This window comes from Homo sapiens, chromosome 3 (assembly GCF_000001405.40).
Source record: "Homo sapiens chromosome 3, GRCh38.p14 Primary Assembly".
In the NCBI taxonomy this organism is placed as follows: domain Eukaryota; kingdom Metazoa; phylum Chordata; class Mammalia; order Primates; family Hominidae; genus Homo; species Homo sapiens.
In genome coordinates, this window is record NC_000003.12 from 45,457,484 (window position 1) to 45,481,558 (window position 24,075).

General features: G+C 42.2%; 1 protein-coding gene across 6 annotated transcripts in view; it reads left to right on the top strand.

Moving 5' to 3' along the window:
• LARS2 (leucyl-tRNA synthetase 2, mitochondrial) overlaps positions 1–24,075 on the top strand; it is a 160,832-nt gene that overhangs the window by 68,908 nt on the left and 67,849 nt on the right. For all 6 annotated transcript variants that reach the window (NM_015340.4, XM_017006042.2, NM_001368263.1 and 3 more), the window contains 3 exons: positions 1,260–1,403; positions 16,760–16,867; positions 18,985–19,144. In NM_015340.4, the coding sequence (NP_056155.1) occupies positions 1,260–1,403; positions 16,760–16,867; positions 18,985–19,144 (412 nt within the window). The remainder of the gene's footprint in view (positions 1–1,259; positions 1,404–16,759; positions 16,868–18,984; positions 19,145–24,075) is intronic.

Below are 24,075 nucleotides of genomic sequence, written 5' to 3' on the forward strand. Positions count from 1 at the left end.
GCCTGACCAATATAGTGAAATCTCATCTCTACTAAAAATACAAAATTAGCTGGGCCTGGTGGCACATGCCTGTAATCCCAGCTACCCAGGAGGCTGAGGCAGGAGAATCGCTTGAACCCAGGAGGCAGAGGTTGCAGTGAGCCAAGATTGCAACCATTGCAATCCAGCCTGGGTAATAAGAGCAAAACTCTGTCTCAAAGAAAAAAAAAATTACAAAAAATGTGTATGAAGTCAGGATATTTTAAGTCCCCAACACACCCCTCTGTACTCATTCCCTTCTTTGTACCAAGTGGTACCTGAATGTCATAAAGGCGTGAATGTAGATGGCAGAGTTATTTATTTTAAATGAAGATAGACACTAACTAGAACTCTATGAGATAATGAATCTTCATAATAGTTAAGACTACATGTTTTATGTGCTCTATCAGCTGAATGAATCCATGGAGACAGAGCTCAGAAGAGCTACCATTGTGGGGGCAGGTATTGATTGGTAGAAGGCACAACAGAGTTTTCTAGGGTGCTGGAAATGTGCTTTATCTTGAAATGAGTGATGGTTACATGAGTATGTAACTGTAAAAATGTATCGAGTTGTACACTGAAGATTTATTTCCCTAAAATAATCCTATTCTGTCAAATTTTAAATAGGTACCATTTTTTCTTCTTTTATTCTGCTTGCTAAAATTTTCCATCCTATAAGTTCATCCTTTCATATAAGATACCAAAGTTGAGTTAGACACATCCTTAAAGGCTTCCTTCCCAAGCCTATTGTAATAAGATGGAAGCACAGAGGAAATTAATGTGTTCTTTGTACAACTTGCAAGTGGTTTCTTTACCAAGCAGTACTCCACGGAGCAGAGTCATTGCATTTGCAGGCCCTCTCCCATGTAAGAAACCTGAGGATGGTCTCATAAAATGAGTACTCACCTAGGTCAGGCACAGTGGCTCACGCCTGTAATCCCAGCACTTTGGGAGGCCAAAACGGGTGGATCACGAGGTCAGGCATTTGAGACCAGCCTGGCCAACATAGTGAAACCCCATCTCAACTAAAAATACAAAATTAGTCAGGTGTGGTGGTGGGCACCTGTAATCCCAGCTACTTGGGCTGAGGCAGGAGAATCACAGGAACCTAGGAGGTGGAGGTTGCAGTGAGTCGAGATCACGCCACTGCACTCTAGCCCGGGCGACAGTGCGACACTCCCTGTCAAAAAAAAAAAAGAGTACTCACCAGATTGTGCCATTTTGTTTCATGAATTATACAGGCCCTGGTTAACTGGGACCCAGTGGATCAAACAGTGCTTGCCAATGAGCAGGTGGATGAACATGGCTGTTCATGGCGTTCTGGAGCAAAGGTGGAACAGAAGTACCTCAGACAATGGTTTATTAAGACAACCGCTTATGCAAAGGTGAGTGTCAGCCTGGAGGCTCCCCACTAATGCCTTACATGCTGGCAGGCAACACCAAAGGCTTCTGGGTATGAGAGAGCCTCACTGTTGGGGTTGAGCTCTAGGAAGGGCTGGGAGCCATGGATGTACAGACAGGAAGCAGCTGAGCCTCATCACTCACTTAGCTGGTGATGGGCTGGTATCTTCAACTGTAAGTCAAGTATAGCACCTAGAGGTCATTGTAGGCCATTGTTTGCTGACGTTTCAACTTACTGCCACAGAGGTCAAAAATCATCCATAATTATATCAGTGATAAAGCTTTAAAAAAGAGAGAGGGGGGCCTTTAAAAAAAGAGAGAGAAAAGTGTCTTCAACTGTGTAGTTCTGATGAGACCTCCAGAAAGATAGAATGAAATCTCAGATAAGTAAATGGACTTTTGGTTTATTAACTTTGGTGCATGTCTTTCCCACCCAACTCTAGACTTCACATGCTTAAATTTTTCAATGGAGGTCCAGAAGAGATTATCTAAAAGAATTGAAGAGATGGCCGGCCTCCATGAGAGAAGGCCAAGTGAAAATGAACTAAGCCAGGCGCTAAAGCTTGATAAACTGGTTCTTGGGCCTTAGTTTTCTCATCAATACAATGAGCAGGTTGGACCAAGCAGTCTTTAAGGTGCCTTCTAGCTCTTTCCGTGTTCAGAGATTCAAGGCAAAACCAATCATTGAAAGCAGGGGCTTGCTTATTAAGTCACCAAGAGCCTGGACAAAAAATCGGTTCTGTAGGTACTGGAACCACTCTGTGCAATTTGCCCTTTGAGCTTACCAAGTTTCAAGGTGCTGGAGTTGAGGGGTCACTCCCTGAAACTCCAGAGAGAAATGGTTAAAGCAAATTAGGGACATTCACATGGCAATTTGGTGACCTTTGTATTCTTATGCATGCATGAGACTGGACATAAGTAGGGTCTGAAAAGGTAAGGGCATCATGAAGGACTACTTATGGCATGTCATGTTGTTCTTCCCCTGTGGTAGTCACCATAAGAAGTATAGTTGTCCCCTTCCATGGTGGCCTGTGAGTTGATTTGTGAGTATCAACTGAAATGGACTCTGGGTTAGATCCAATACTGTTGTTCTTACATACAAAGAAAGCACAAGGTTCTCAATATCCCATGGTCACTACAAAACTTTGTGAATTAGAATTGTAGGACGCCAACTCACAATACCAATGCCATACAGAAATATGACCTCTAGTTTCCTCACATAAAAGACATGTCTTAAATGAGGTTGTTTTTCCATTTTCATTTATTCTGAATGCAGCAGAGAATAGCATATGGATTTGGAGAGGTGCTCATTAGAACTTGTTAACATGGTGCCTTGCTCCTTTTAAGCACAGCAATATTGGAGACTGAATGTGAAGAACAAAGCTGAGGATGTTGCATTCTCTAACACCCCAAGCAGTGGGAGCCCCTGTCTGCTGACAGTTGGGGTCCACTACATTACTGGGAAGGATGCTTGGTTACCTCTTGGACCTGTCAGATGATTCTGTTATAGGCATTGTTGGAAAGTCCACCTAATTAGCTCTTTTGTTTTGACCTCTGCCTCTAGTTGAAAATGTAATAACCTAACTGAGGAGCATTATTCTTTAAATTGTCAGCTGTGAATTTTCAACTGTTCAGTGGAAATGGTTAGTTACCATGGTGACTCACCTGGTTCTTGCTGAACTCCTGTGCAGATGTATTGAAAAAACTGTCTTTTGAAGTCAGCACTTGGTTTACTCTGAAAATCTGGAGAAGAGGGAGAGTAAGACTCCATGAAGCCTAACAGAGAACAATGCTATGGGTCTGAGAACAGAACAGAGACACAGACATGAGGGGGCTGTGCAGTACTGGAAAACATTGGCATTATGACTCAGCCAAGGGTATATAGTTGAGACCCCCAAAAAGGCCATGTATTAGAGTAGGGATGACACCCTAAGACTAATGACAAAATCAAAATAGACTCATTTTAATAAAAAATAAAATAAGCCTGAGTGGTTCAAAAGGAACTTACAGAACAAAACTCAACATCTTTAAAGGGAGACAATGTAATCCAGACTCCCAACGTTGTATCTGCAATGTCCAACATATAATTAAAAATTACTAGACTTGAAAAGAAGCAGGAAATTATGGCCTAAAATCAAGGGGGAAAAAAAGGCATTCCAATAGAAATAGATCCTGAGATGACCCAGATGTTGGAATTAGTAAATAAAGCCAAAGACATCTATTATATAAATGGTCTGGGACTTAAAGGAAAACATGGTCATAATGAATGAACAGATGAGGAATCTCAGGAGAGAGTAGAAACTTTTTTTTTTTAAATGAACCAGTTAGAAATCTAGAATATAAAAGTTTAATATCTGAAATGAAAAATCCACTCTTTGGGGCTACAGATGGATAAGTAAGGGTTAGGTAGACATGAAACTTCAGGGAAGCTCCCCCCTCACACACCTATGTAGTGAACAGCATGTGTAGTGGCCTTAAAACAGAAAAGTATATGATGGGTTTGAAAAACTAAAAGGACACTGTAGCTTAAGTGAAAAGAGCCAAGCAGAAAGGCTCAAGATAGGGCTGGAGAGATGTTTAGGGGCTAGATCAGGCAAGGCCTTTAGGTCTTAAGGAATTTGCACTTTAACCATGGGGACCATAGGAAACCACTAAAGGATTCTAAGGAAGGGAATGGCATGGTCAGATTTATGTTTTTATAAGATCACTGTGGAAGGAAGGGCAAGTGTGGATGCAGAGAGACCAGTTAGAAAGCTATTGCAATGGTCCAGGCATGCAAAATTTAGATGTGGGTGAGAATAGTAGAGAGAAGTGAGTAGGTTAGAAAAATACTCAGGTGGCAAAATCCATAGAGCTTGGTAATAAATTGGAAGAGAGTATGTAGGAGATGGTAACATCAAGGAAGCCGTGGCTTGAATAGCACACAGGGAGTCCTGGAAGAGACATAGTCCTGACCCTTTTCAGTTTGAAATGGCCAGGAGATATTTGAGTAGAGATATGAAATAATAGGAAAATTACTATTTGGATTATTTGGGAAATTATTTGGGAAATTAGGTCCAAAACTTCAAAGATTGAGTGAGATAGGACATCTATTTTAAAACCTGGTATGATAAAAATCGTCTTGAGTTAGTGAAGAAGTCCTGCTATATATAGATAAGATTGAGATGTTGAATCAGTTAGTAATGCTTTCGGCTGCAAGCAGCTGGAAACCTGAGAAATGGTGGCTTAAACAAATGGGAAATTACTGTACCCACATAACAGGCTGCCAAGACTGAACTGGGATAGGGTTCTGGGTTGTCATCTCAGTAGTTCTCTTGGCCCTTTCTTCCTGTCACCTTAAGGCGAGATGGTTGCTGCAGCTCCAGACATCGTGTCTCCATTCAGAACAGGAAGAAAAGGGCTGGGTACCGTGGCTCATGCCTGTAATCTCAGCACTTTGGGAGGATGAAGTGGGAGGATCACTTGAGCCTAGGAGTTCAAGACCAGCTTAGGCAATATCGAGACCCCAATTTCTACCAAAAAAAAAAAAAGAAAGAAAGAAAGAAAGAAGCAGAAGGGGCAGTGCCAAAAACTGTTCCTTTTGTCTAGAAAACAAAAACTTCCTCAAAAATCCCCAGTAGAATTCCACTGATGTCCTGTTAGCCCCAAGTGTGTTTTGGCCACCTCCAGCTTCAAGGGAGACTAGGAAAGCAGGCTTGGGCTTTTTAGCTTCTGTAGTTGAGCTGGAGGGGGGAAGAGGATGGGCAGTAGGTGCTGGGATAGGCAGTAAGCTGTGCCCGCACAGTTATCTTTAGAGCTTTGTATTTGCATCTCGTTTTGCAGCTCTGTGGGCTGCCTCTGTGATGTATGACTGTGGTCTTCTTGGGCGCATGGCTGTGAAGGAGCCCTCCTTTCATTCACTTAACTTCCTAATTTTAAAGACAGTGCCTGATGTGAAAATTACAGAGAACCCAGCAAGATAAAGATGCTTTATTCAGGCTGTTCTGTGATATATTTGATTTTTCTCCTCTTACCCCCAACCCAGTCCTCCTAGGATTGTTTGCTTTGTGAAACATTAAAAGTGATTTCAGCCACTCATTCTGTGAAAAAGAAAACTTGCAGTAGGAGTATCTGAAGAACATGAATTAGTCTTGGCAGAGCTGTGTGGGCGGTGTCTTGTGGGCAGCACTGCTGAGGTGACAGCAAGGGGAGGAGGATGGATTGGAGCCTTATATACAGCAAGCGAAAGGGATTCAGAGTCTGATGGAATGCCTCAGTCCTGGCAGCAGAGTGACAACTGGAAGGAGAGGCAAATAGAGAGAAGGCCTCCCATTTGAATTTCTCTATTAGAGTTGTGATTTTGATTTCTCCTGCTGACTCCGCTGGCCCCTCTCGGCTGCATTGCAGGCTTTCAGCCCCTGGGCACCATGCACGCGCCCCTCCTTGGTGTTAAATGGACATAAGCATGCCTTCATGGTGCTTAGTCAACCCCCATACCAAATTGGTGGTTATGTTTTCAGGAGTTACTTGGCAGCTGCTGTAATACAAAGTCTGTGTTTGCCTCTCATTTCCTACCTGATTATCTCAGATCAGGGCTCAGGCCTTTCTTTGTACCATCTTACTGAACCCTCACTTTAATCTTTTGAGGGTAGGTACTCCTCTTATCTTCATTTTACTGATGAGCAGACTGAGGCTCATACTAGTAATAAGTAATAGCATGGGGATTCAAATCTGAGCAGCTGAGCTGTTAACCCGCAGTCTCTCCTCCTTCTCTGTGGTCTGAATTCATTCATTTTTTTTTTCCTGAGATGTTATTGAGTGCCTGGCCAGACCCTAGGCAGGGTGCTAAGAATACAGACAGAGCAGCTGAGGTCTCTGCTTTTAAGGAGCTTAGACTTTAGTGCCACAGACAGTGGTAGACATGAGCTGTCACATCTCCTGCAAAAGAGTGCAGGGGAGACGAGGAGGAGGAGGAGCCCCAGATCTGCCCAGCGGTCCAAGGAGGTATCACTGAGGAAGTGGTGAAAGATGGGAAGCACAGAATGTCTACAAGGGAGCATCTTCTTGCCCTCCAGATGTGCAGGAAACCTTATTCTTCATCAAGGATTTCTAAGTAGGATGAACTTCTGCTGGTGAGAAGCAGATGGGCAACAGTGAGCCATTATGAAATCAGTGGGCACTGGAGGTAATAAGCGCCCATTTCCCTGCCCTCTTTGTTCCTGTCCTCCTGATTTCACCTGTGAGCTTGTGGGTAAAGCAGAGGTACCTTTACCAGAACACACTGGTCTTGTTTTACCCTGCAGAGCATGCACACATGGGGCTGGAGGAAAGAGGAGGTGAGGGGAGAGAAGGGAAGTTTGTGCCAGGAGTTCTTTGGAGGAGGTGGCGGAGGATGTTAGAGCGAAGAGACAGCCTCAGAGAAGCAGTGAGGCAGGGTCCAGCCTCCAAGAGTCATCTGGACTCTGGAATGAAGACCGTTAGGGGGACCTTTGTTCCACCTCTGAGGCACTGGGATACTTATGAAAGCATTTGGCTGCCCTCTAGAAATTGGGCCTCTTGCCTGGCTTTCTGCTCGTAACTTCAGATCCTGTCTCAGCCCCAGAACAGAGGCTGGGTCACAGGTAGCACCAGGAAGTGCCTCTCCAGTCACATCGTCCCCTTAATCCCCTTCACCCCTGTCACTCCTGTGTTGCTCTAGAAGCTTTGCAAAGGAATTGTTAGAGAAGTTTGGTAACTTGACCCTACTCTGCCCTCTGACCTCAAGAAAGCACCTCCTCCTGTTTGTGCGTCAAAGCACTTCCTCCTCCTGTGTGTGCATACTGCGCCTTCTAAGGGGGAGGGGCGGCAGCACAAATTAGATGTTGGCAGAAGAGGCAAAATGACAGAACTGAGAGGAGCAAGTGAGAAATGTTTAGCAAACTGTCAGCTTCTCTGCAGGGCTCTGAGGACCAGGCCAGGGCTGGGATTTGGTGATGATGATGCTGCTTGGGTTTATCTACAATGAGGGCTTTTTCTTAAAAGCTCTGTGGCTTCGAAGCTCTTACTGCATTTATCCCCACCATGCCCCTCTGTGGTCAGACAGGGCTGAGGGTGGCTTTATCCCTCCTCACTTTAAAAATGATTAGATACTGTGGGGTAGGAGGCCAGAGCCCATGCCGGCTCTGGACCCCTATTCTCAGACCAGTGCTGAGCCACACCCTCAGAGCCCTCAGCCTCCCTGCCAGGATTCTCCCTCATGCTGGGGCTGTCTCTTCTCTTGGCTACAGTAGATTCTGCTCCCAGTCCCAGGGATCTGGTTTTGACTCCCTGTCTCACAAAGCTAATTAATAGTTAAATTCTGCTCCTTCTTACATAATATCTCCTGCTTCTGTTTTCTGTTTTCCCTGCCTCTCCAGCGTCTTTTCTCTCCTAAGCTATTCTAAACTGAACTCTCTGCTTTTCTATCCTCCATCCTATGCTCTCAGCCCTCCTCAGCATGATTGCTGGCCAGAGTGGCCAGTGCCACAGGGACCAGGTGGAAGTTGTTACTGGGAGAGCCAGCCCCTCAGAAGTCCTTCTAGGGATGGGACTGGGCAGGGGTAGGAAGGGCACAGAGGCCACAGAAAAGTAGACAACTTGAGGCTGGCTTTTCCCTGTCACTTCCCAGGCAAGCAAAAAGCTGCCTGAATAGAGGGAGTAAAATCTTTAATAACAGCCCGGGGCCAAGGCGAGATGCTGGGAGGAGGCACCTGGCTGGCTCTCAGCAGGCCTGAGAGGGAACTTCCTCCAGGAAAGGTCCTCCAGGGGTTGGTACAGGGCTGGGCCTTCGCTCTGGGATTCAGAAACCAGTGGTGTTTCTAAATGGTACAGAGACAGTACAGGCCATCAGGTTTCCCTCCCTGAATGCAGGGCCTTCCTGCTGACCTCCCAGATGTCCCCCACCAATGCCTAGTCACATCTGTATGTAGTCTCTATTAGGTCAATTCTCTATCATCATCTCATTTCCCTTAGCCCTGACTTCTTGCGCACACTCCACTGTCCGTCCCTGTCAGGGAAATAAAGACAGGTATGCTTGGTACATGTACTCCAGATGTATGAGAATAAAAGAAAACTTCTGCAGTCTCTGGGTCAGCAACCTGCTCTGCAAAGAGAAAGGTTTTCATGTTTTGTTTCCAAGATGGAATGACTGCAAAGGAAAAATGGAAGAAATAATTTAATAGTATACTTCTTATGGTATATGGACAATGAAATACATTGTAAATTTGATCAGGAACCATAAAGATAGAAAAGCATTTTGTGTTCCTTTTGAACCCTGAGTGGCCTTTTTGAGCTCCTGTTTCTTGGGTGTACAGGTCTTCTTGAGGTGTCAGCCTGGACTCCATGGGAAGAGATGTATTTAGCCTCTTGTTGAGGGGTCTCAGGGATCGCTGCACAGGCCTGGTGAGTGTCACCAATGAACCTCTTCAGCTTGGAGAGTTATTTGAACTTCAAAGCTAGAAGAAACTTGAGAGAGCATTTAGCTCGGGTCTCTTTTTAATCCCTGCCCTGATCTGAAAAACATAAAAGCAAATAAACAGAAAACCCCTCATGCCTGCATTTACTGCTGCTTGAAATTGCAAAATCAATATGATGTCTGGAAACAAATTAAAATAAATGAATAAGGTGTTGCGTTATTTTGAGCGGCCCACATCATGTCCTTCTCACTCCTTCCCAGGGGGCTGATTGCCATCCTGAGGTGTGTGTCCCATCCTTGAAAATTGCTGACCCAGCCCACATCTTATTATATAATTGAGGTGCCAAGAGCAGGGAAGGGCCAGAACCCAACTTGGGTCTCCTCAGTCCCAGTCCTGCCTTCTTTTTTATTATTATTATTTGAGACCGAATCTCACTCTGTCTCCCAGGCTGGAGTGCAGTGGTACAATCTCGGCTCACTGCAACCTCCACCTCCCAGATTCAAGTGATTCTCCTGCTTCAGCCTCCTGAGTAGCTGGGATTACAGGCGCCTGCCACCATGCCCGGCTAATTTTTGTATTTTTAGTAGAGACGGGGTTTCACCTGCATTGTTTACCCCTGCTCTTGGGGACAGTTCCCAAGCAACTGAGTATTTCTGAGAATCATGTGCAGACAATAGCCAGTCAGCGTGTGTTGCAGGAAGGCAGCACATTAGCGATAGGAAATGCAGTAAGTACAGAATGGGCACAAATGGCCAGGTAATGGAAAGTGTGGTGATTAGAGGTTTTCTGTTTTGTTCTTGGTGGAATTGACTCATTGTCCTCTCTGTCTTGCTTTTGTCATTATTTACTCCAGTGCTCTGTCCTTACCCTGGGTTCTTCTGAGCCCAGCTGCAGAGAGACCAGTAAAGACCGATCCAATGGCTGCTGCTATGAAGGAAGCAAATAGTCATTAACAGATACATACATGTCAATACTGTGTTTTTCAAAATAACCATTCTCTTATGCAGAGAGACACTTTTCCACAGCACCTTTCCACTTCTCTGTGTATTTGCTTACTGCTACCAGATGGCTAGCTCTAAGTGTCAGATTTGCTCAAAATAGAGACAGTAGAGCTGTAATAAGTTGAAAACTCAGGTAAAATACATTCTGTAGTTTTAAAAGAGTATATTAACAACATGCTCTTAACTATGTAAAAGCATATATATAAACACACATACAAGATTTTATCAATCCTGACATGATTAGTTTTAAATTGAATGCTCCATTAAGAAAGAAAAATGCTCTCAATATATTGTAAGATACCACTGATTGTAAGACATGTCCCAGTGTCAGAGTTTTTGGGAAAATGTATGTCTTAGAGTGAATAGAAGATGCAATATAAGTAGGATGGAAAGATATAAAACAAAATATTAATAGTCATCTCCCTGGGTATTTTGACCAATTGTGGGTAATTGTTAATTTTCTTCTCTTCCAAATTTTCCATAAAAAGATTATTGCTGGGCAAGGTGGCTCATGCCTGTAATCTCAACAAGGTAGCCAAGGTGGGTAGATCGCTTGAGCCCAGGAGTTCAAGACCAGCCTGGGCAACTGGCAAACCTCATCTCTACAAGAAATACAAAAATTAACTGCATGTGGTGGTGTTCACCTATAGTATGCACCTACAGTCCCAGCTACTCAGGAGGCTGAGGTGGGAGGATCACTTGAGCCCCAGGAGGTCGAGGCTGCAGTGAGCCGAGATCACCCCACTGCACTTCAGCCTGGGCGACAGAGTGAGACACTGTCTCAAAAAAAAAAAGATTATTATCATTTTGATAATCATAAAATAAAACAGCATGATATCCGGGTTAGATCATCATTTATTTACACATCTTCTTTAGACCTGAGTGTCTTAGAAAGGGATGGTCTTATGTTCTTGCAAATATTCAATCTATAGGGAGGCTTCCAACTTGAAGGTAAGTGAGTAGAATGTCCCCTGGGATGGCTGTTACCATTTTGTTTTTTATGATTAGACCAATAAAAGCTTTCAGCCTTGCCCTCAAGACTCCCCTTTCCTGGAATAATAAGACCACTTTTCAGGCAAGGATAGTCAATGCCACAGATTAGGCTGAGGACAATTTTCAAGTTGTAGCTATTGGACTACTCCCTCCCTCTCCTGTGGAAGCCTCTCTCTTATCTTGTAGACCCAGGGGCAGGGAGGTGACATAGGTGGCTCTGAGAATCAGAAGCAATCTCATCAGACAGGTGGCTCTGTCATTAGGAGAGTTTGGCCTTCATCGTCTGCATTCTTACCAGTGTAGTGGTGACATTTGAGAACCTGTAGTCACCTTCTCTCCAAAGTTAGTGGAATTAGAATTGTTCTGCTGCTGAAAAGGTGGGTCAGAGGGGGAAAGAAAAGATGGATAAGTGTAACCTGAGTGGATATGTGGATAAGAAGAGATTAGTCAAATTGGCTGCTGCCATACTTCCTGGTTCCCTTTACTGCATCCTTTTCCACAGATCACGTACATGGGGCTGTGTAATGAAATCCTCAGGGCATTCCCTGATGGGCATACCTAGAAAGCACATCCCTCTTTTCTAGCACCAGTGACACCATTTACATGTATAGGAGTCCTCTTATTGGAAGCTATTCTATAAAGCACTTGGTTTGTCCCTCTCTTTCCCATAGCTCTGGGCTGTGCACTTGTATGTGTGGCTGCTTGGTGCCTCTTTTCCTCTTGCCCTGAAATCCCATGAAACCACACCTTGTTGGCAAGTCATATATCATTAGCAGGATGCCTTGCTCCGAATGGATTATTTCCCTGCTGGGTTAACAGCACCTGCATTGGAATTGAGATTCTTGGATAGCACAGTGGTATTTGCAAATAAATGTTTTGCATTGTGATGCTACAACAAATGGATTTTGCTTGGAATACATATCACATTCCAATGAGAGGTTGACGCAGGGCTATCATAGGGAGGCTTTACTATATTTATGTATTTGTCATGTCTTCTCTAAAGTCAAACAAGGTAAACATCATGCCAAATGGGTTTTCTTGTTTTTTGTTTTTTTGAGACAGACTCTCACTCTGTCACCCAGGCTGGAGTACAATTGCACTATCTCGGCTCACTAGAACCTCCGCCTCCTGGGTTCAAGCGATTCTCCTGCCTCAGCCTCCCGAGCAGCTGGGATTACAGGTGCCTGCCACCATGCCCAGCTAATTTTTGTATTTTTGTTAGAGACGGGGTTTCACCATGTTGGTCAGGCTGGTCTCAAGCTCCTGACCTCGTGATCCGCCCGCCTCGGCCTCCCAAAGTGCTGGGATTACAGGGGTGAGTCACTGTGCCCGGCCGGGTTTTTTTAATGTATAAATCTTCATGCCAGAGTCAAAGCAGGACAGGGGACTAGAGTGCGAGAGAAAGGTCATTCCTCCAGCACATTCTAGAGGGAATGTCTATATTTTTAAACATCTTGCTGCCTTCATAATTGGTTTTCCTTTTTTAGAACTTAATTATATATTGTGCCTCCCCCCCCACCAAAAAAAGAAATTTTGGCAACAAGAGTAAGTTTTAGAAAAATATATATAAATCATAATTCAAAAATAATTGCAAATCAAATCATACCAATTTATAAGTATGCTAAGTGTCAAGCTTTTAAAAAGTGTACATTTTAATTAGATGTTGTTGTTCAATCTTGTGTCTTCCATTCTCTCAAATCTGTGTCCAGCTCTTAAGGTTTTTGATTATCCACCCTTCCCTTAGTAGCTAATACATCCACTTGTTTTACAGGGTCTGTACTTCTCAGTTTGCTTGCACTTTTTTTTACCTGGGTCTTCTAAAACGTATCATGTTTTAAACCCACTTTTTCTAGAATTCTCATTTGTGGTCATGTCGTACCTTGTTCTTAATGCTTCAGCTCAACTTTCTGTCTTAGGAAGTATGGATTTATTCTTAGCATTACTTCTGCTTCTTTGAAGAGAAAGTCATATTAGCCGCGTTATATTTAATCCTCTTTTTATCCCCAGCTTTTTAGTTTTAATGTTTCTCTCTCTTATTCCTGATTGTATTTTGTATTAGTAAAACCTTTTTGATTGGATGTTACTTCAGCCCATCTTTTATTGGTGCATGTTCTTAAACACTGGCTCATCTTGACTCATGAATGCCTAGTTCTGTTTCAATTTCTTCAAACATCTTCGTTCAGATGGTGTACCCTAGAGTGACAGTGGCAGTCTTTTCAGACACATCCTAGCACAAACGGATTTAAGGCCCCTTTGCAAACCACATTACTTCTATATAGGCCAAATGGCAACCACAGGGAAACTTTATAATCAGAAGATCTGGATAATTCATTATCTTGGATCTGCTGCTGATGGAGTTTAGGGAAATCACATGACCTCTCAACCCCATTTTTAAAATTTATTAAATGAGAGGCATTGAATAAGTTAATGATTTCCAAAGTGTTTCAAAGCCTTGGGAGTCGATAGGGAAGTATTGAGGAATTAGAGGAGAGAAAGGGCATTTCTTTCAACTCTTACATATTGGGTTCCCTCAGATTCGATTTGAAAAAGGTTTCATAGCACTTTTAAAAAGAATCTAAAAACCTGATATTTTCCCAGGTTTTTGGATTCTGTGAGCCAGTGGGATTTTAAGATTGGCCAGTATATGGAAGAGGTACACGTACCAGTCCTGTCTGCCAGATGTAAAGACATGAAATGAGGCGAATACCATCTATCACTGTAATTACAACACTAAAAAAAAAAAAAAAAAAAAAAAAAAAAGAAGGATATAAACTAAACAAAAACCCCAAAAAAACAAAAATAGCTCTTTAAACAGCTGTAGCACCGTAACTACTCACATCTTATTCTGGTGGAGCCCTGCTCTGGGCCAGCCCAGGATTGAAGGAAAGGTTATCAGCAGCTATTGGAAAAGGTACTTTCTGAAGCCCTGTTCATCAGAAAACAGTCATGAATCATGTGTTTATTATACAGTGGGGACCGAAAAGAGCTTGCAGAGTTGTTCGAGATGTTGATTTCATTTAGTTAATTTTAAAAATTTCTTTTGGTTTTTCACAATATTCATAGATTTGGTTAGGTTTTAAGCAGGCATTGTTCCAGAATTAGCATATGAAAACATTCACATTTCATCCTATTTGAATCTGTCATCCTCATCAAGATCTGAATATTTTAAGCAAGGTACCTCCATAAGAAGTTTCCCAGCCTTGACGATTACATCTAGAAGAAAAAGCACAATGAGAGGGTGAATACACTAGTGGCTCGGTAATGCTGGTAAAGGAATGGACGTAAAGTGCTATCAGAATTGGACTTAGTCAGGGAGATTGAGCCAATTTTCAGATCATGTAATGTGGATTTGATATGATGGAAAGACATCAGATCCCATTAGACCACATATGGATTTGCTTGGAAGTTAAATGGAGCCTCATTGGTCTTTGGAGAGGAAAAGCTATTGGTCATTTTCAAAGTTTATAATATACTTGCGTGCTCGTTGACATTTAAGACCCCCTACATTGCTCTAAAAATTGAAAAGCATTCTAGAGTACTTAATTTTATTAGAAGATTAATTGTTTATTAACATATTAGTATATAATTAACATATTCAAGATCTACTTTTGCTACAATGACATCGAGGCATTACTGTATCAGCTAATATAGATATATATGTATCAGGATGTTGAAACTTTTATAATCCATTGATGTTAGTTAGGCAACTTGGTTGCAAACAACATAAAGTTACTCTGATTAACTTAAGCCAAGGAGGAATTGATTAGAAGAGAATCAGGTTACTCACAGTTGAATGAGAATGCCGGGGATCCAAGCTCAGGCAGAAATTAGGGGAGAACAAGGGCACAGCCACAATCTTTTCCCAAAATGGTCTGGTTAAGCCATTGCTGCCATTGGTACCAGCATCTCCAGCCTCTCAATCTGGTGTGGCATTTAAGCCAGTTGATCCTGTGCCTCTGGGTCACCCTACAGTGTTCTGAAACTGTACTGAGCCTATGACTGGTTATACTCCTTAGTGTCAGTGGGGAAGGGAGTGGGATGTGGTGGCAAGTTTGTCCCCTTTCAAGCGAGTAATGAACCAAGAGACCTGAGTACAGTGGTCTCAGGCCTGGTTCCAATTAGCTGAGTGATATGGGGCAGATTGCTCTCTCCTGGGCCTGTCTGTCCTCATCTATAAAGAGAGAGGATTCTGATGACAATGTCAGCCCCATGGCTCTATGACCAGAGTCTTCCTTCTAGGAATAAAATAAAAATATAAATAAGATAATAGAAGCAGATGGATCTCTAATACATGCCTTTTAGTTAGAGTATGATAAGCTGAAGCCATCTGAAATACAGATATGGGAAAGCTGAATTTAAGAACTGTTGTTATAAAGTAGTAATTGCATAGCAGAGTATCAGACTGAATATGGACTTGGGAGTCAGCTACATCTTGCTTCAAGTGTTGCTTCCACAGCTCTATCCCATACTTGTGGAGTGACTTGGGGAAAAGTTCTGAGACTTGTTTCCTCATCTGGGATGTGGAGTATTACTACTTGACTTGTGCTGTTGATGTGAAGATTAAATGAGGCAACATACATAAAAGTGCCTGGTACTTAGGAAGTATTCTGCAAAGGTTATTACTTCCCTTCCCAGATGCCTGGGGATCTGCTTCTGTAGTACTGCTCTCTAATTCTCTCCCTTGAGTACAGGGAATTAAATGGTAATTTAATGAGCATTTGCCCAAGATAAGGCACAGTTGTAGGCTTTGGGCCAGGCCCTGTGTGGAATATAAAGAAAAATCAGAGTTTGCATTAGAGCCATAGAGATCACAGGCCAACATTTCCCTGTGCCATACTTTCTGAATTCAGATCAGGAGCACTGTGGGATTAAGAGTTGCAGCCTACACAATAACAAACTTAGCAGTTATGTTTTTGTCATTGTTGTTGCTTTTCATTTTTATTGTAAAATGAAATATGGGTGATCATATAAGTATATAGCCTATTGAATTATTTTAAAGCAATAGTTTGCATAGATAGATGACAAATATGAAAGATGCTTTGGGTGCGTGTGTGTGTGTGTTTTTGTTTTTGTTTTGTTTTTTGTTTTTTTTTTGAGACAGAGTCTTGCTCTGTCACCCAGGCTGCAGTACAGTGGTGTAATCTCGGCTCACTGCAACCTCTGCTTCAGGGTTCAAGCAATTCTCCTGCCTCAGCCTCCCAAGTACCTGGGACTACAGGCAAGCACCACCACGCCTGGCTAATTTTTGTATTTTTAGTAGAGACGGGGTTTCACCATGTTGGCCAGGCTGGTCTCAAACACCTGACCTCAGGTGATCCGCCCACCTCAGCCTGCCAAAGTGCTGATATTACAGGCGTGAGCCACTGCACCTGGCCTGTTGTTGTTTTTTTTTTTTTTTTATCACACATTAACATAGGAATCTTTGTGCTGTAGCCAAATGTTTATACAAATTAATGTCATGTTTCCCTTATATATTTATAAAATTAATACTTTTTAAATGCAAAGATAAAATTTATAATGTCCTATGTATGATATTGTTTAGTTGTGGAACACTCATGAATGACTTAGGGTTTCAAAATTCATAAACTTGAACTTAATTTTTTTAGTTCCTAGACTATGGGAGAGAATGTACTAGACACACTTGCCAAAGATGTGAATTATGACCTTTGTTTGTTAATTTTCTTCTTTCCGTGAAACCGTGACTCCCTTGGGACAGCGAAATCGGTCAAACCCATCTCACTGAACTGAGTCATAATGAATGCATCTGTTTCTAACCTTTCCTGGCTTCCTCTGACTTAGTGAACAAGGAGAGAGCTAAATCCTGGATCTTCTTTAGTGTCCCTGCTTTTCCTACCTTAACAAGCTGCAAATCATTTGCTTTTTCTTAAATAAGCCTTGTGCCTCTACTTCTTTGTTCTCCTTTCATTTGCACAGGCCATGCAGGACGCGTTGGCAGACCTTCCAGAATGGTATGGAATAAAAGGCATGCAAGCCCACTGGATTGGGGACTGTGTGGGCTGCCACCTGGACTTCACATTAAAGGTGATTAAGTAATAGCAGCTCCAGCAATTCATGATCACAAATCTCCTCTACATTTGGGACTCACTGAGTAAACCAGCAACTTGGGACTCCACAGCACCACAGTCCAAACGTGTACAATTTTAAATTTTCTAGTAGCCACATTTTTTAAAAGTGCAAAGAACAGGTGAAATGAATTTCAATAACATATTTTATTTAACCCATTACAACCAAAATGATTCCATTTAAAGATGGGCTCAATAAAAAATGATTTATTAAAGAAAGAGTTTACATTTTAGTACAGTCTTTGAAATCTGTGTTCTACATTTATAGTACACATTAGCCATATTTCAAGTGCTATGATTCATAGCCACATATTGCTACTGGCTACCATATTGGACAGCACAGACACAGAGGGTCTTCAGGGGTCCATGAACTCCCTGAAGTTTTATGTGCAAAATGTTTGGGCATTTTCCTGAGCAATGGGTCCATTACTCTCACTATAGTCTCAAAGGGGTTCATGTCACAAAGCAGATTAAAAGCCAGGGAAGCAGAAGCTAACTGTGACATCATTTCAAAACTAGATAGACTTAGAGCTTAGGGATTGTGTTTGAAACTGCTGTGGAAACAGTGCTGAAAGGTCACAACATAAGGCCCACCTATTCTAGAAGGGGTCCCTAAAACTTCTTTGTCTCTACTGACTAGAGAGTTGTTCTATTGATATTTTTTTTACCTGGGCATTCTTTTTTTATCCTTCTGATTTCTCCTTCTGTCATCAAGACTTTTCTGCTCTGTTCATTTAGCGTCAAACCTGCCCTCACTTTCGTCCCCGTCAAAACCTTTAGGAGGAGGAAGCAGCAGCTGAGACAAAGTTGGCCTTCCTTTCTAGACTCTTGCCTGCTGACAACCATACCTGGTGTCTGCAAGCACCTGCCGCTTGCCACTCAGCTTATAATTCCCTGTGCAGCCTCCTCACAAAAGTGATCCAACTTACTCCAACTGCAAACATGGAAAGCCTCCCATAAGGGAGTGTGTACTTTGGAAACATTTCAATACAAATCCTGGACTGAGCTTTTCCTCTTACCGCTTTCCCAAGAAGGTGGCGAGAGTTCTGAAATTCAGTCCTGCTGTGACTTGTGTTTAAATCTGCAAGGCCATCTCTTTCAGGGCCTTTGCATTTGCCTGAGTCTGGTCCTCATGTTGAAGGCCTTTGCTTCTTAACTAGCATTCGGTGTGGGTCTCTGGGCCTGTCAGCTACTGTGTGTGGAATATCTTCTACACTTTCTTCTTTGCCCAACATTTTACTGTGAACATGTTTTTATCTCCATTCCTGGAACCACCTGAAAATAAGATGGGGCAACATAGTGTCTCAGGAAGGAAGCATCTCAGTCCTACAGGGTAGACCACATCTATGCCTCTGTGTCCCCAATTCTGGCTCCATAGGTGACACCTAATTGGCAGTTAGGCCAAGTGGTAGACTGTCTTTTAGTTCATTATTGGCACTCTGTCAATGTGTTTGAATAAATGCATGAAGGAAGTAGCACCTGTCCACTCTGTGTCCTCCATGTCTGTCACATTATTTGGCACTCAGTGGATGGCTAATGTGTGCCTCTTCCTTAAAAGGCATTTTAACCAGCTCTAGGGACTCATAGTCATGAACTCAGCTCAGGCCATCCTTTCTCTCTTCAAAGCAGTAATAACCTTGGCACCTGTTTTTCTTGTTAGAAAAGTAGATGCCTTTTTTTTTTTTTTTTACCGTACCCTTATATCCTTGAAGAAAATATAGCTTCTTTCTCAGAACACAAACACTATAACACTAATAGTTATTTTTGATTTGTAAACAAAGGAGCCAGAAAAACCAGGAAAGTATCTTTCTGAGCATTCTTGGACCACCTTCAACTTGGGAATGCCTGCATGCCTGGTGTGGGGCAAGTGGTAGGGGGTGTTTCTGAAAGAGGAACTGTGATCCTCTTCTCAGCTTCTTCCAGGCACCATCTCAATCCCCACACCCCTGGCCCAGTGGTCAGAGCTGTGGTCACTGTTGGGGAATGAGGAGGGAAGGGGAAGGGGATACAGTTAGGGAGCAACACAGCCCAAAGGGAGGACTGAGAAATGACATCACTCTTCTTTCCTATCACCAGGTTCATGGGCAAGCCACGGGCGAAAAGCTGACTGCCTATACGGCCACCCCTGAAGCCATTTATGGCACCTCCCACGTGGCCATCTCGCCCAGCCACAGACTCCTACATGGGCACAGCTCTCTGAAGGAAGCCTTGAGGATGGCCCTTGTCCCTGGCAAAGGTGAGCTGGCAAGTTAACGGCTCAGGTGGTAGGATTGCTACCTTACATTTGGATGGCGCCTCCCAGAGTTCAAGGTCCTTTCCTCTATGTCATCTTGCGTGGGTTGTTCTTTGCCTTAGCCTGATTTTTTATGTTTTTATTTTGAAACATGAGGATAAAAAAGAGCTCTGAAAATATTTTTATTACCTCTGGTTTCTCCATGAGATACTAGTTTGTCTGTGTCTTGAGCTTCTGATTGAAAGCTCAGCTCTCTCCCTTTCAGTATAATCTAAAGTTCTTTTCTCCTAGTTATAAATTAGGAGAAGATATAGGAATCTATTCTATTAGGAATAGAATCTTCTCATAATTTATAATTTCACCATCAACTAAAACTACACTGTCAGAGACCAAAGGGAAGCCAGTAAGAATGAGAGCAAACTTTTCCAACTCAATTTTATTGTTTTAAAGAATTCATGTGGTCATCTGAGCAGTGTCCTGCTCCATACAGAGTTTTAACATACCTGCTTTATGAATGGATCAAGCTGACCTAGAATCGGCATATCAAGTTGTACTTGGTCTGTGAAGATTTGAAGATTCTGTGGTTGCAAGCAACAGATTCCATCTCTGACTAACCCAGAGGAAAAGGAGAACACATTGGAAGGCTGTGGGGAAGCCCGTTGCTAGAGGAACAGCTGAAGAGGCAGTCCGAAGGGGGACTTGGAGAGTGCAGCCCCAAGAGTTTGGAGAACAGGAACTCACAGACAGTCCCCTGAGTGCCACTGTCAGTAATTCTACTCTAACACCGCCTTCAGTGCCTGAAGCACTTGGTTCAAGACTCCTCTTGCAGGGAAAGGTGTTTGACTGCTGTAACTGGGGCCCCCAGCCTATTTCTTGGCAAAGAGAGGCCAGGCACCTTCCTTGGTAGACCACAAAGATTGTCCCCAGGGAGGGAGGGGGAGCTCTCCAAAACAAACTTGAGGGCTCTTACCAGATAAGGGGATATGAAGCCTGGGTAGACAAAAAGAAATCCATTCTAAGTTAGAAATAAGTCTCTGAAGTAATTTAAATATTTCCACAAATATCTCATCCCTATTCTCTTTCATGAACTATAAACTTCAACCCAAAGTATACAATCTGAATTATTGGGGTCTGAAATAGCATTTGACTAAAAAAATGTTTTGGATGATGATATTAAGTTGCCATCTCTGAAATGACCAGAATGAAACATTTCCTAATACTAGGTTGGAGAGATAGACAATGTCATCCCAATTTCTCTCTGCTTAAGACTTTGTTTACTTAGACCATTAAAGCCGGATTCAAATCAGTGAGCACTTTCTAAAGAGCCTGCTGCATGCACTCTTGGTGGGGCATAGATGAGCCATTCCAGTCTTAACTGGATGCCCCAGAGAGGCAGAACAGAGGACAGCCAGATGCATATGCCACTCGCCCCACACAAGGCAGATGTCACCTCTCAGTTTCACCTCTTTGCAATATGTATTGAAATAGAGAAAAGAGTCTTTTGAGTTAAAATTTCTATGCATGCTTATAAAGCCCAATATAGCTGTCTCTCTCAGGTTTATTTTCTTTCCTTGCTCAAAAGAAAAACTGGATATGTTTCAACTGTTTAGTTTAAAGGGAAATCTCATAGTTTTACTCTCATGAGCAATTTGATATTCCTTGAGGGCTATGGTGGCTGAATAATATCTAAAATTGAAAAACTAAAACATGTAAACATCTCTAGCCCTTACATTTTCTCTTATGGCTAAATTTGGGGACACAAATGAAAATAAGGTACTATTAATAGGGGAGCTATGATTTGTTAATGAGCTAACAAATTATAGAGGATGGAGTTCCTGAGATGAAAGGCACTGTATAAATTCAAAACATTTTCATATGTAGGAAATGGAGAAATTTTTTTTAGTACACGCAAACAGCACTGTTTTCATGAACACATGGATATCGACACACCTGACCTGGCCTAGTCATTTCATTTTGGCAAATTTAGTGCCAAGTGTAATGTTCCATTTGAAGGGCTCATTAGTTACTTTCTCCCCTCTTTTTAATAATCTCTGAAATTATTCCAAATGGAACATTACACTTGGCAGTAAAATTTTCCAATTCTAATTTTCAGAGTAGAAATACTCTTTTTGCAGATGTCAATATATTCAAAATCTCTAAATTAATTTGCACATCACGTCCCTGGATTTTTGACATCATAGTCACAGAAGGCCAGTACAGTGCATTGAGTGTAATACAATGTTCCCAAAAGATGAATTCAGATTACCTAGGAATGTATGATTTATGCCTCTTCTGGCCTTTGGGATTACATTTTAAACCAGGATGTTGTATCACTGCTGTCATTTACCATTGCTGACCACCTCATTTTTTTTCATTGAATGTCAGATTTTAAGGATGATTTGTGTTGAAGCAGTGACCACCGAGTGTCATGGCAGCACACAGTTGTGACTAAATTTATCACTTGCAGGAGTTTCAATTCTCAAACATGAGCTCCTGTAGTTGCTAAGTTTGTTTCTACATATCGGCTCCTGATTTGGCCTGAGATGACCAAGATTCTGGTCCTAGAGCCATCCATATGACTTAAGGAAGGTCACGTAAGCTTTGTAAGTTTAGCCTTCCTGGCAGAGCTTGTATTGGGGCTGTCAGCCAAGGTGGTCTTGGAGGACCTTGTGGGTAGAGAAGAAGCTTTGAGGGGCCCTGTGGAGGAGAGTGACACATGTGGCCAGGGTGATGCTAGAGTGGCAGGCTGGCTGACCCCATTAATTGTGGAAAGAGATGGCGAGGCCCCCAGAACAGCAGGGATCAGGATGGAGGGAGGGAACAGGTCTGAGAAGTCTGTGGAAGGCTGCGAGGGTGGAGGATCCCTGGATGATTTCTTGATTTCTAGCTGGCCAACTGGGTTGCCGATGTTATTGACTAAATGTACTGTTTTGTGCTTAGCATCCTTAATTTGGCACAGATTCCTTTAAGAGAGGAAAAAAAGCAAGGTGCTCCCCTAGAGCTCTTGAAATTTAGTTTATTTCCATAATCGTTGACGTCGCCTCCTTCTCTCAGCTGACCAAATCTGACTTAAGTCATGTTATGTAAGCTCTCACTTGATAGGAACTAGAAGCCATAAAAGGCATCAATGGGGAAATATGATCAGAATTCTAGAAGCTGTTCTGTCTTTTCCTGAAATCTTTTCTTGCATTCCTAATATTAAAATATTCAAACCCTGGGGCTTTGGAACCACACACTTCAGCTCTGAGTCACCAACTATCTACACAATGCATTTTTTGCTGAAAGGGCAGATGCGGTCTCTCCAAAGGACAACTTGGAACTCTGTTGTTATTGACACATTACAGGCACATTAGAGAGCAAGAGCCTCCCTGGAAGCCCCAGGTCATTAAATAATAATTAATTGCTCACTACTGTTTTGTCCTTGTCTCCATAGTATCCATATGGGGTGAGGACAAAGGGTGAGAGCAGATCTGTAATTCTGGGGTAATGGTTTGGTTTTCCATCAAACTGTTTCAAGTAGAATTCTTTGATGTTATGTGAAGGGAAAAGCTTCTGTGCTCAAAAAATCTGGAATAAACAAAAAAAAACAGGTATCTTTGCTTTGGACTTCTCAGAACCTTTGCTGTGCTAATGTGCACTGTGACTGTCTGAGAGAGGAAGTCATAGGCACTCTTGTCACACCCAGTTGACCACGGAGCCCTGTTTCCATGCAGTATCCCTAGAAACTAGTTATATGGACTGCCGCCTTGGTGAACACCAAATGTAAGTCATTTGTCTGTTTTTCCAGAGGGTGTGAGAGACCTGCCTTCTTTCCAGTGGGTGCCCTGAGGGCAAAGGACAGATACCTTTTTGTCTGGAATGTTTCCTTTGTAATTACTAAAGTGTTTTGCTGTTATCTAACTACTATTGTGAAATGCTTCAGTTTCTTCTGATTTCACCTTCTTAGATTCCTGCATCACATCACTAGCACAGGAGTGATTACTGAACACATTAGTAATTAGGAAGGAAGGAAGAAATATGGAGAACACTAGAGACCTATTCAGGAACTTTGGATTTTAATTGTGTTGTTTCTAGGAAATAGATTTTGACCAGGTATAGCATGCGAGCTGCTACCGTGCATTCATTGCAAATCTGCTAATATTTAAGTTCAAAGACCAATTTTTGTCCTAACTGAGAAACTGGTATAATATAACTTTTACATGTAATAAGAAGCAGTTCAACTCTTTCAAGCAGTACACTACATTTTTTTATATTACTTTCTTTTGTAACAACTGAGCATACCATATAAGAACCTACTTAATATATACAATTCCATGGTTTTTAATATATTCACAAATTTATACAACCATCCCCACAGTCAATTTTAGAACATTTTCATCATCCCAAAAAGAAATCTCAGACCCTCTGGCAGTCATCCCTCCCCAATTCTTGCCTAATCTCCAGCCCTAGGCAATCACTAATCTGCCATCTGTCTCTGTAGATCTGCCTATTCTGGACATTTCATGTAGATGGAATCAAATATAATATTTGTCATCTTATTGTCTGGCTCCTTTCACTTAGCATAATGTTTTCTTTCCTTTTTATTTCCAAATAATCCTCCATTATATGGATAGGCCACATTTTATTTATCCATTTTATTAATTGATGGACATTTGGGTTATTTCTACTTTTTTACTATAGTTATAAATAATACTTCTATGAACATTAATAAAGATTTTTGTGTGGATGTATGTTTTTATTTCTTTGGCAATATACCTAGGGGTAGAATTGCTGGGCCATGAAGTTTAAGGAACTGCCAGACTATTTTCCAAAGTGGCTTCACCATTTTACATTCCCACCAGCAGTGTATGAGAATTCCAGTTTCTCCACATCATTACCAACACTTCTTATTGTCTGTGGTCATTTTGATTATGGTCATCCTAGTGGATATGATG